The sequence below is a fragment of the Homo sapiens genome, chromosome 8 (assembly GCF_000001405.40).
Source record: "Homo sapiens chromosome 8, GRCh38.p14 Primary Assembly".
Classification (NCBI taxonomy): domain Eukaryota; kingdom Metazoa; phylum Chordata; class Mammalia; order Primates; family Hominidae; genus Homo; species Homo sapiens.
In genome coordinates this window covers 66,887,140-66,899,674 of record NC_000008.11, presented here as the reverse complement: position 1 = coordinate 66,899,674, position 12,535 = coordinate 66,887,140, and the positions used below count along the sequence as shown (strand labels likewise).

The 12,535-nt window shown below is 40.8% G+C and overlaps 1 protein-coding gene across 9 annotated transcripts in view; it reads right to left on the bottom strand.

The window, feature by feature from the left end:
• MCMDC2 (minichromosome maintenance domain containing 2) overlaps nucleotides 1-12,535 on the bottom strand; it is a 55,612-nt gene that overhangs the window by 26,708 nt on the left and 16,369 nt on the right. For 8 of the 9 annotated variants that reach the window (XM_011517469.3, XM_006716427.4, XM_005251174.3 and 5 more), the window contains 3 exons: nucleotides 8,605-8,810; nucleotides 3,339-3,505; nucleotides 2,716-2,895 (listed from right to left, as the gene is read on the bottom strand). In XM_011517469.3, coding sequence (XP_011515771.1) covers nucleotides 2,716-2,895; nucleotides 3,339-3,505; nucleotides 8,605-8,810 — 553 coding nt within the window. The remainder of the gene's footprint in view (nucleotides 1-2,715; nucleotides 2,896-3,338; nucleotides 3,506-8,604; nucleotides 8,811-12,535) is intronic. The other variant, XM_006716429.3, reaches the window with a different exon arrangement.

Here is a 12,535-nt window from a genome sequence, read left to right as displayed (position 1 = left end):
AATACAAAAAAATTAGCCGGGTGTGGTGGCGGGCACCTGTAGTCCCAGCTGCTCGGGAGGCTGAGGCAGGAGAATCACTTGAACCCAGCAGGCGGAGGTTGCAATGAGCCAAGATGGCGCCTCTGCACTCCAACCTGGTAACAGAGCGAGAGAAGAAAAAAGAAAAGAAAAGCATAGAGACATGTCCTAGATTGGACATGTCCTGGATTGGATGTATATCCTGGCTTCTTTGTTTTCTTTATTCTCCACAACTCTCTCCAGGCTTTCAGAACTGGATATACTATTAATAGCATCAATAACCCTCTCTAAGTTCTCTCTAAGATGGCATGATGATGAGCCACCAATATCCTCCTTCAGGAAAGGACTTGTTGCCCCAGCTACTGAGAGTGCTGTCAGCCCCTTCAGGGATTGCCTCAGGACAGTCCACATCACATGAGTAATTGAGGCAGAAGTCGGGGAGGACATTATAAAGTCCGTAGGTATTGACAGAAAAGCCCTCTCAAATACACATTGGCACACTAAACTCCATCTCAGTCTGTGTTCTGGAGAGCTCAGGCTGCAACAAATTCCATCCACTTTGATTTGTGTAATAGACAGATTTATCTTCCAGAGAAACCATTTTTACTATTTCACTTTTTACTATTTTACAGTTCACTCTACAACTGTTCTCTATAGTCTGACAAACCAACTATAAAATCTTTTGCCTGTGCAAGACTTATTGTAAATATGCCAAAATCCTATGACTCCAAAATACAATTTTTGCTCCAGTCAAGCTGGTCTTATCGTTTTCCATGTACACTAATTTCTACTTTTAAGTCTTTACTCCTACTGTTAATTCTACTTGGAACACCCATCCTTTGTGCATCTAAATTTTACCCTTTCTTACAGCCCAACTAATGTCCAGCCTCCTCCATGAAGTTTTCCCAGCTTCTGCATTCTACATGGGTATCTTCCTTTCTGAATTCCTAAAATACCTGAGTCAGCACCACTTAGCTTAGCACTTAAATTGTTCCTTAACTATTTTATGTATCTTTTTTTTTTTTTTTTTTTGAGACGGAGTTTTGCTCTTGTCGCCCAGGCTGGAGTGCAGTGGCGCAATCTCGGCTCACCTCAACCTCCGCCTTCCGGGTTCAAGCGATTCTCCTGCCTCATCCTCCCGAGTAGCTGGGATTACAGGCATGCGCCACCATGCCTGGCTCATTTTGTATTTTTAGTAGAGACGGGGTTACTCCATGTTGGTCAGGCTGGTCTCCAACTCCCTACCTCAGGTTTCTGCCCTCCTCGGCCTCCCAAAGTGCTGGGATTACAGGCGTGAGCCACCTTGCCTGGCCTATATCTTGTTTTTAATCTCAATTAAATGATAAACTAAAGAGAAAGTTTATATATCTATGAGAATATAAAAGAATGGAAATAGGCTCATATTTGTGAAGTATTCAGTAAATACCTGAATAATTAATAAATCTAGATTGTTTTGGCTTCTCAGGTAAAAAAATGGGCAACATTTGTCAGGGCCATTAGCCTGTCCATATTTAGTACCCTAACTCCTACAGACTACTTTTTTCCTATATAATAAAACCAAAACCAAAACCTTATTATATTATAAATATTATTCTTTTTTCTATTCTAATCTATGTGAATAAACAATATTCATAATTCATTTTTAAGACGATTTCGCCTTTCAACCTTTTACTCATGCAGTATGCTCACAAGGAAGATAGATATGAAAAAAAATTTTAATGACTCAGACCTCCACTTTCTGATATTCCCTGCCTTTTATCTATCATACCCAGACAGGTGAACTCTACTTGGACAGATTTTTGAGTAGTTAAAAAGGTTTCAGTTGTAAATATGTGAGTACCTTTAATAGCTATGAGAATTATTACTAAATTTACATCACTTACTCTCAGGTTCTCTGAACATGTCACATATGTTTTGATAATGTCAGGGTAATTAATTAAAATGGGTTAGTGAATCATGCTATATATCCCCTAAAGTCAGGACTCGAAGGTATTCATCTAAGGACAATCCCTTTGAATAGACAGTAAAATGCAGATAACTGTATATAGCCTATTATAATTTTCTATAGAAAAATTCTATGTTGGTTTTCTTTCGTTGAGATTCTTTCAGCTGTGCTGATTTGGACAATGGTACAAAAATAAAACTGAAAATTTTAATATTCATTACCTAACACAGTTGTTTCTTTAATTATAGCCCTAAATAATTCTAAATAATTTCTTTCTTTTTTCTTTTTTTCTTTTTTTTTTTTTTGAGACAGGGTCTTACTCTATCACCCAGGCAGGAGTGCAGTGGTGCGATCTCGGCTCACTGCAACCTCCAACTCCTGGGTTCAACTGATTCTCCTGCCTCAGCCTCCCGAGTAGCTGGGATTACAGGTGCCACCACCACGCCCAGCTAATTTTTGTATTTTTTGGTAGAGACGGGGTTTCACTGTGTTGGCCAGGCTGGTCTCGAACTCCTGGCCTCAAGTGAGCCACCCGCCTGGGCCTCTCAAAGTGCTGGGATTATAGGCATGAGCCACCACACCAGCCTAACCCTAAATAACTTCTATGCAATGTCCTTAAAATGTTTAAAAGCTGGAACCAAGATGGAATAAAAGAATCCTAAATAAAGAAAATCCAGCACTCAAAAGGACTTCTATATAATTTGAGAAACATTAGCACAGGCATTCTGGGTAACCGTTTTATCCACCTTTACCTTTTCAAAATCTTCAGTTGTGAACTGTCTAGAAGCCGCATAAAACAGCCCTTCAGGATTAATGGCTTTGTTCAAAGTGTGTTGCACAGTAGGAAGAAATGGGTGGCAGGGAGATGACTCGTTGCAGTTAATCAATAAACCAAATGCCTCCACAAGGTTAGCTGGAATCAAACTGCAATCCTACATCAAACCAAAAGGTAACAGGCAAACATTAAACTTTGTAATTTTCACAATTTGGAAATAATTAATTACAAAGTAATTATTATATGTTGTTATTATTAAAGTTATTATTTATCATATTAATTATAATTTAAGGTAATTTTTTAATAATCTGGGAACTTTTTAGTGATTGATTTTTTTAAAGCCTCTTTAGTGAGTATTTTCTTATACATTATTCATTAAAGACTCTCTAGTTACCTATTCAAATAGTAATTTCCAGTGAGCAGATATCTGATCTACATGGTTAAAAAACATTACAATTTTTAAACAACTGGGTCATCATGTAGTTCTGGTACTCAATAAAGTATAGAAACAGGTTAATAACAAAAATATTAAGATGTATTAAAATTTATGACTTTATTCCTTGAACAACATTCTAACAATAAAATATACATATACCTTACCATCTGACCAATTAGAGTGTTGATTTTCTGTGCATTTCTCCTTGAAGATGAATCCACATCAACAAAAGACCAAAAACTGCACTGAACTGGAAAAGTCATCTGTTGATCAATATCCTCCCCAAACTTCTTTCCTGGGATGTACACTGTGATGCTTCTGCTCTCCAGAACTAAGTCAGAAGACATTATCCATTTGTTATTTAAGTTCATTTTGGTCTAAATGTCTACAAATTGCTAACACATTATTATATATAATTATACTGTGTAGACTTTGGATAGTGAAAGAAAGTAAATTTGACTGTTTTGCAAGACAATGCTCTAAGTTCTGCCATAAAAAATATGTATTTGAAGCCTTATGTGTCCCATGACTTGATGAGAACCAGGAGTCCAAAGCACGTAGCTGGAATTGTGGCTGGGCACCTGAGTGGACTAGGCAGGGGGCTAAGAGATTGGTCATATAATACAGACTTACAAGAGAGGCTAAAATTAAATCCTGTTCTTTTATGTGGGGAAAATGATAGAAAGCAGGCCATCCATGTGGGAGTGAGAGAGGAAAAGACAGAGATAATATGAACTACAATGACTGGGGGGAAATATATCTCAAATTCAACATGTTCAAAGCCAAATTCATTGTCCCCTCACCTCCCACTTAAAACCCAAACAAAAAATATGGAGCACTTTGGGAGGCTGACACGGGGGGATTGCTTGAGCCCAGGAGTTTGAGACCAGCCTGGGCAACGTGGCAAGACCCTGTTACTACAAAAAATTAGCCAAGCATTGTGGGATGTTACCGTGGTCCCAGCTACTTGGGAGGCTGAGGTGAGAGAATTGCTTGAGCCCAGGAGTTGGAGGGTGCAGTGAGGTATGATGACACCATTGAACTCCACCCTGGGCAACAGGGCAACAGAGTAAGACCCTGTTTCAAAAAAAAAAAAAAAAGAAAGAAAGAAGAAGAAGAAGGAAGAAGGAAGAAGGAGAAGAAGAAGAAAGAGGCCAGGGCCATTGCGGAGGACCACATATCATTTGATTCCATTTATAGTCAGCCATCTATATCCAAAGGGTCTGTCTGCATCTGTAGATTCAACCAACCACTGATGAAAAATATTCAATAAATAAATAAAACAATAACAACAATAAAAAACAACACAGTATAACAATTTGCAAAGCATTTACATTGTATTGACTATTATAAGTAATCCAAGGATGATTTAAAGTATATGGGAGGATGTGCATAGATTATATGCAAATACTCTGCCATTTTATATAAGGGACTTGAGCATCTGTGGATTTTGGTATCTGCAGAGGCCCTGGAACCAACCCCTGGAGAATACTGAGGGAAGACTGCCTATGCAATGTTCAGAATAGGCAAATACACAGAAACAGAAAGCAAATAGTGTTTGCCAGGGACTGTGAGGGAGTAGGTGACGGGAGGCAGGGACTGGGGGTTGACTGCTAATGGGTATGGGGCTTCCTTTTGGGGTGATGAAAATATTCTGAAGTTAGTGGTAATAGTAGCACAACTCTGTGAATATTCTAAAAAGCACTTAACTGTACACTTTCAGTGGGGAATTGTATGATGTGTGAAATCTCAATAAAACTGTTACAAAAAATGTAATAGTAGTATTGCCATTCTAAATAAAGAAAAATTAAAATTTTATATTGACATAAATTTTACCTTTTATCTTTATATTGTACAATACTTTTATCTTTATATTGTATAATGCAAATATATGGGCATTTACCTCATAAGTGGAACCAATAGTATTTTGCATATGCATATGTATTTTGTTTTTACCAGGACAGTGGAAATGCTGCACAAAACAATTTTTATTTTACTTCTTGATATGCATACATTTCACCAACACTCTCTACCTTCAGCTTACTGATAAGTGAGGAAGGACTGAAAAGACAAGGAACTATGGATTTGCCCTATCTTTCCCTTTCCTCCTGTGTCATTTTCAGTGTAAGTGGTTGGCAAATACAGGGAAGCAACCAAGTAAGAAAGAGTATGATATGGCTACTTGGTCATTTGTGTTTCTTGAAAGGCCTTTGCCTTCTTTCTGTATTAGAAGTACACCTAGTTCAAATGAAAAGCATGGCCACTTGGGGTTATTAGCATTCCCTCTTACTCAGTTGAAAATGTGTTGATATGGAAATATAAGCACTGGCTTATAGTGCACCCATGACACATGGGAGTCCAGCAACAATCAGAGAAAGTACAAATTAAGTGTGTTATGAATGCTGCATAGTGATCACAAATGCTGTATGAAATAGGGCAGTAAGGCACAGTAAAAACAGGCATCCATGTGTCTCCTCTACTCACAGTCAAGTGCCATTATCTCGTTGGACTTCCTTACAATACAAAGATAAAATTATTAAAAATTGAATATGATGACAGCAGAGTTTTAAACCAAATGCCAAGTTCTTGTGGGGAGAGGACATACTAGCAGGGCCAACTTCACGAGTGTGGAACCAAGTGCAGTTGTACCGAGGCCCTCCTCTGTAGCAGCCAGATGTTCCACCATCCTTTGATGAAAAAAACTCCTTTTCCCACTGACTAGCTTTGGTGCTGTAGTCAAAAATCAACTGACCATAAAATGTGGGTCTAGTTCTACACTCTCTGATATGGGTTGGCTCTGTCCCCACCCAAATCTCATCGTGAACTCCCACGTGTTGTGGGAGGGGCCTGGTGGGAGGTAACTGAATCATGGGGGCAGGTCTTTCCTGCACTGTTCTCATGATAATGAATAAGTCTCACAAGATCTAATAGTTTTAAAACGGGGAGTTTCCCTGCACAAGCCCTCTTCTCTTGTCTGCCACCACTTGAGATGTGCCTTTCACACTCTACCATGATTGTAAGGCCTCCTCAGCCATGTGGAACTGTAAGTCTAATAAACCTCTTTCTTTTGTAAATTGTCCAATCTCAGGTATGTCTTTATCAGCAACATGAAAACAGACTAATACACCCTCATTTTGCTTTTATTGCTTTTTTTTGTAGAGATGGGGTCTCAGTGTGTTGCCCAGGATGGTCTAGAACTCCTGGCCTCCAGCAATCCTCTTGCCTCAGCCTCCCAAAGTGCTGGGATTCCAGGTGTGAGCCACTGGGCCCAGCTAATTTCTGCATTCTCTTATAAAGTGAAGCAATATGCTATGTGCCCTGAGCACACTTATACATTCATGCTGGTATGCCAAGAAGGCAAGGTTCTGACTACTCTTTGCCCAGTCCATGGCTGTCCATATCCTTGCTAGTTATAAATCTTGCCCAACCAGTATTACTCTAATACAGAACCAGACAACGACATTATAAGGAAAAAACCCTACAGACCAATATCTCTCATGAACATAGATTTAAAAAATCCTCAACAAAAATAATAGCATATCAAATCCAACAATGTAGAAAAAGAATTATACACCATGACCAAGTAAGCTTTATCCCAGGTATGCAAGGCTGGTTCAATATTCAAAAATCAATTAATGTAATCCATCATATCAACAGGCTAAATGAGAAAAATCATATGACTGATGATGGCAGGAGGCAGACAGGTTCCTGGGCAGATAGGGGCAGGTCCCTGGTGGAACCCAACCTTCAGGCAGGAGACAGCCTGAAGCCTGAAAACCAGGCTGCCAGTTCTGGGTGGAGTCCACCACCTGGAGTGAGAACTTCCTTGATGCCTTTCAGCCAATCAGATGGTGCTTTTTCTGGGCCCACCCATGGACCAATCAGCATGTACTTCCTCCATTCTTAGCCCATAAAAACCCCAGACTCAGCCAGACTCAAACACAGGTTGGGACTACCCGCCTGGGGGTACGAGCTACCCACTTCAGGTCTCCTGTCCACTGAAAGCTGTTCTGCCATGCAATAAAACTCTTCTCCACCTTGCTCACCCTCCAGTTGTCCACATAAGCTAATTCTTCCTGGACGTGGAACAAGAACTTGGGACCTGTTGAATGGCAGGTGTGAAAAGGGCCATGACATTCTCCTGGCAGGCTTGCTGAGCTGCAAGTGGGAGCAAAAAGGGCTGTAACACTTTCCTAGCCAGCTCACTGAGCTGTGAGTGGTGACACACTCTTGTTTGCTGGACTGCAGGAGTGAAGAGCAATGACCCTTCTGGAGGCCCAGACCTCAGGATTTCCTGAGTCAGAGCTGTAACACTATAATCCTCTTGCCTTCTGCCAGCCTTGGGTGGCTGCCCCACAACAGAAAGTGGCGATGGGCTGGGCCAGCCCAGGAGCCACAGGCTGGAGTGAAGCAGTGGACTGAAAGAGCTGTTAACATGTGCCCCACCATCTGCTGAGCTGTGGGCAGCAGGAACGAGAGAGCTGTGGCATGCTTCCCTGCAGCCCCTTGGGGCTCCACCGTTGCTGGTATCTCCAAGTTTTCAGGTGCCATCCTGTTCCCCTCATCCAGACACCAGGGCCCTCAGTAGAAGCCACTTGCAGTATGCCTGTTCCAGCTACAGCCTTGCATGAAGCCAGCACCTGTGCCAGCCCCTGGAGCTGCCTGCCCTGCCACAGCGGCTGGTGTGCCTGGCTATGTGCAGTGGCCAGACCCTGTGCTTACTCACTCACACACCCCTCGCTGCTCCGCTCCTGGCTTATCCTCAGCAGGCATGGGATCTGGACTGGTAGTGTGAGCCAAGTGCAGCCTGCCAGGCTGAGTGAGCAGAACAAGCCCAGCAGGCAGGAGTGAAACTCAAGCAGAGGTGCTGCTGGACATAGAGGTTTCTGGCTTGAGAAGCAACACCCGAAGGATCCTGTGACATGATCATATTAACAGAGGCAGACAAAGCATTTGACAAAATCCAATATCCATTTATGATTAAAAAAAACCCTCTCGGAAAATTAGGAATAGAGAAGAACTTCCACGGATAAAGAATGTCTACAAAAAATGTACAGCTAACATCATACTTAATGGTGAGAAACTTGAAGCTTTCCCACTCAGATCAGGAACAAGGCGAGGATGTCCTCTCTCAACACTACTTTTCAACTTTATACTGGAAGTGGTAGCTAATGCTATCACTAGACAAGAAGAGGAAATAAATCTGGACCATTACAAGCTCATGTGTTAGCACACTGAGAGCAAAGGCTAAAACTGGGCATTTGCACATTAAATTTCTGTTTAGCTTATAAAACCAAAATAAGAAATGCCATCTAACATAATTTCTTAAACCCTCAAACAACTGCAATACTATCTTAACTGTTAAGTATCTCAACATGGATGAGAGTATAGGTTAAACGGGTGAAAATTAATTTAAAAAATATTGTTTACCTGTTTGAAGCTGTTCAAGTTTATCTTTTTTGTGTGAAGCCAAGTCTCCTATAAAGCAGATACCACCTTTAGCTAGCAAAGCACTGCCAGCCTGAATGCTAACTGCTCCAGTTCCATACTTATTCCTGGATAGAGTGGGAAAAATTTCAGTAGAGACTAGATGACGTATACCACGGGGGACAAGGTTTATGCTAAAATTCAGAAGCCTAGGGAAAAAAAATAAACTTTTCATTACTATTATTTAATTTTCAAAAGTCACAATGTATTAAATTTAATTTTATTCTGTGTTTACTGAGCACCTGTGATACACCAGCTATTGTGCTAGGGATAAAAATATATATGACTAACATGGTAAAATCCCGTCTCTACTGAAAATACGAAAATTAGCCAGACATGCTAGTGCATGCCTGTAGTCCCAGCTACTCAGGAGGCTGAGACACAAGAATCATTTGAACCTGGAAGGCAGAGGTTGCAATGAGCAAAGATTGTGCACTCCAGCCCGGGCAACAGAGTGAGATTCTGTCTCAAAAAACAAAACAAAAAAATGTATACGAGACTTGGACCTTAACTTGGAAAGCTCACAGTCTAAAAAGAGAGACATAAAAAACTAAAACACAATGTGATAAGTACTAAAAAATGTCTTCATCCTGGTGACAGAGCAAGACTCCGTGTAAAAAAAAAAAAAGTCTTTAGAACATCCATGGTGGCCAGGCGTAATGGCTTACAACTGTAATCCCAACACTTTGGGAGGCCGAGGCAGGCAGATCACTTGAAGTCAAGAGTTCAAGACCAGCCTGGCCAACATGGCAAAATCCCATCTCTACTAAAAACACAAAAATTAGGTGGGCCTGTAATTACATGCCTGTAACCCCAGCTACTGGGAGGCTGAGGCAGGAGAACTGCCTCAACCCGGGAGGCGGACATTCCAGTGAGCCGAGATCACTTCACTGCACTCTGGCCTGGGTGACGGAGCAAGACTCTGTCTCAAAAACAACAACAACAAAAGAACATCCATGGGTGTATTATTTCTTCCTGGAAGGGAGTCAGAGAAAGTTACACAGAGATGACATTTGAATTAGGCCTTCTTCTTTTTATGGATTGCTTTCTTTTGCCTATTCAGAATTTTTGCATTAGGCTTGCTAGTGTCCCATCAAAACTATCACTCTGCTGTTTCTGTCATGGCAATTATGGGGTTTTTTGTTTGTCTTTGTTTTCTTTTGTTCTGTTTGAGTCTCTCTCAGTCGCCAAGGCTCTAGTGCAGTGGCGTGATCTCAGCTCACCGCAACCTCTGCCTGTCACTAGGCTGGAGTGCAATGGAGCAATCTCAGCTTCCAACCTCCACCTCCCAGGCTCAAACGATTCTCCTTCCTCAGCCTCCCAAGTAGCTGGGACCACAGACACAAGCCACCGTGCCTGGCTCAATTTTTTGTTTTTTTTGGAGAGACGGGTTTCACCATGTTGCCCAGGCTGGCCTTGAACTCCTGAGCTCAAATTATCCTCCTGCCTTGGCCTCCCAAAAAGCGCTGGGATTACAGGCTTGAGCCACTGTGTCCAGCCAAAATTTTTTTTTCTCTTAAGAGACAGAGTCTCGCTCTGTCGTACAAGCTGGAATGCAATGATGCAGTCATAGCACACACAGCCTCAAACTCCTGGACTCATGCAATCCTGCCTGCTCAGTCTCCCAAGTAGCTGGAACTACAGGCATGAGGCACCTGCCTGTCTCATGGCATTTGCTGATATGTCATTTTGGTTTCTAACCTCTTTGCTAATTGCCTCAGTCTCTTCATATCCCAAATTTAAATTCTGAAAAAGGAATATGATTACCTTAGCTTAGCTTTCAAATCCTTGCCACAGAAATTACAGCTTCCTAGTGCAATCACCTATGATGAGTAGACATAGACATGTGACACAAAAGGGGGTGATACAAAAGTAGGCATAGACATGCAGTGCAAAAGAGTGAGATGTGGATAGGTAGATGGTATAAAATATATCTAGCGCATGTTCTATTCTAAGGAATTTGGATGTTTGAAGATATATAAAATGAGAGAGAGAGAGCGATATTTAGAAAGAAACCTTTGCAAGCCTATAAGGAGTGGTTCTCAACCACAGCCTGCACTAACCTTACCTGGGGAGATTTAACAAATTCCAATGCCAAGTGCCACCCCAAACCACTTAAATTAGAAACTCTGGGGGTGAGACACAGTGATAAATATTTTTTAAAAATTCTCCCAGGTGATTCTAATAGGCAGCTAGGCTGAGCACTTAGTGATATGGAACAATGAGCCTCAAATTTGGCTACACATTGGAACTGGCTAAGGAACTTTTAAAACTACTGATACACAGAAGGTCACAGAATACAAAGTCAAAATATAAAAATCAATTGTATTTCTATATATTCATAGCAAACAATTGAAAATGAAATTAAGAAAACACTACCATTTTAGTAGCATCAAAAATATCAAATATTTTTAGAACCAATTTAACAAAATATTTGCATGACCTTTATAAAAACATCACTGAGAGAAATTAAAGAAGACCTAAATAAATGGAGAGATATGCCACATTCATGGATTGGAAGACTCAATATTATTAAGATGTTAATTCTGCCCAAAATTGATTTACACGTTAAATACAGTTCCAATCAAAATACTCAAAGGCTTCTTTTTGGTTGGTATTAACATACTGATTTGGCTGGGCTCAGTAACCCACATCTGCAATCCCAGCACTTTGAGAGGCCGAGGCGGGAAGATCACTTGAGCCTGAGAGTGCAAGACCAGTCTAGGCAATATGGCAAGACCTCATCTCTACAAAAAACTAAAAAAATTAACCAGATGTGGTGGTTCACGCCTCTGTTCCCAGCTACTCAGCAGGCTGAGGTGGGTGGATCACTTGAACCCAAGAGTTTGAGGCTGCAGTGAGTCATGATTGTGCCACTGCACTCCAATTTGGGCAACAGACCGTGACCCTGTCTCAAAAATAAAAATAAACTGATTCTAAAATTTATTTAAAAATGCAAAGGATCTAAAATTTTTTTAATCTTTAAAATGAAAGATAAAGTTGCATTACCTGATTTCAAGACTGAACATAAAGCTACAATAATCAAGGGAGTGTAGTATTGGTATAAGTATAGAACAATAGATCAAAGTATTAGAAAAGAGAGTTCAAATAGATTTACATCCAGTTCAATTTTATACCCTGATTCTGCCTAGTTCAATTGAATTTGAACAATGGTATCAAAACAATTTAATGGGGAAAGGAAAATCTTTTCAACAATTAGTGTGGAAAAATTGGATAAATGCATAGGAAAAACATTAACTTTAACTCATACCTCCTACCAATCTCTGGGAGATTAAGGCAGGAGGATTGCTTGAGCCTGGAAGTTTGAGACCAGCCTAGCAAGACTTATCTCTACATAAATAAATAAATAGTAAACTAAAACTATAATGCTTCTAGAAGAAAACATTTAAAAACTCTTCATGACCTTGGGATAGACAAAGATTTCTTCTTCTTTTTTCTTTTTTGAGACAGGGTCTTGCTGTGTCACCCAGGCCAGAGTGCAGTGGCAGTCTCTGCTCACTGCAACCTCCGCCTCCCAGGTTCAAATGATTCTCCTGCCTCAGCCTCCCCAGTAGATGGGATTACAGGCACGCACCACTATGCCCGGCTAATTTTTTTTTTTTTTTTTTGTATTTTTAGTGGAGACGGGGTTTCACCATGTTGGCCAGCCGGCCTCGAACTCCTGACTTCAGGTGATCCGCCCACCTCAGTCTCCCAAAGTGCTGGGGTTATAAACATGAGCCACCGCGCCCAGCCAGACAAGGATTTCTTAAACAGAAGTCAGAAAACGCTAAGCATAAAAGTAAATAATAAATTGAATTTCATCAAAACTTAAAAAGCCTGCTCATCAAAGATACCTTTAGACAATTTTTAA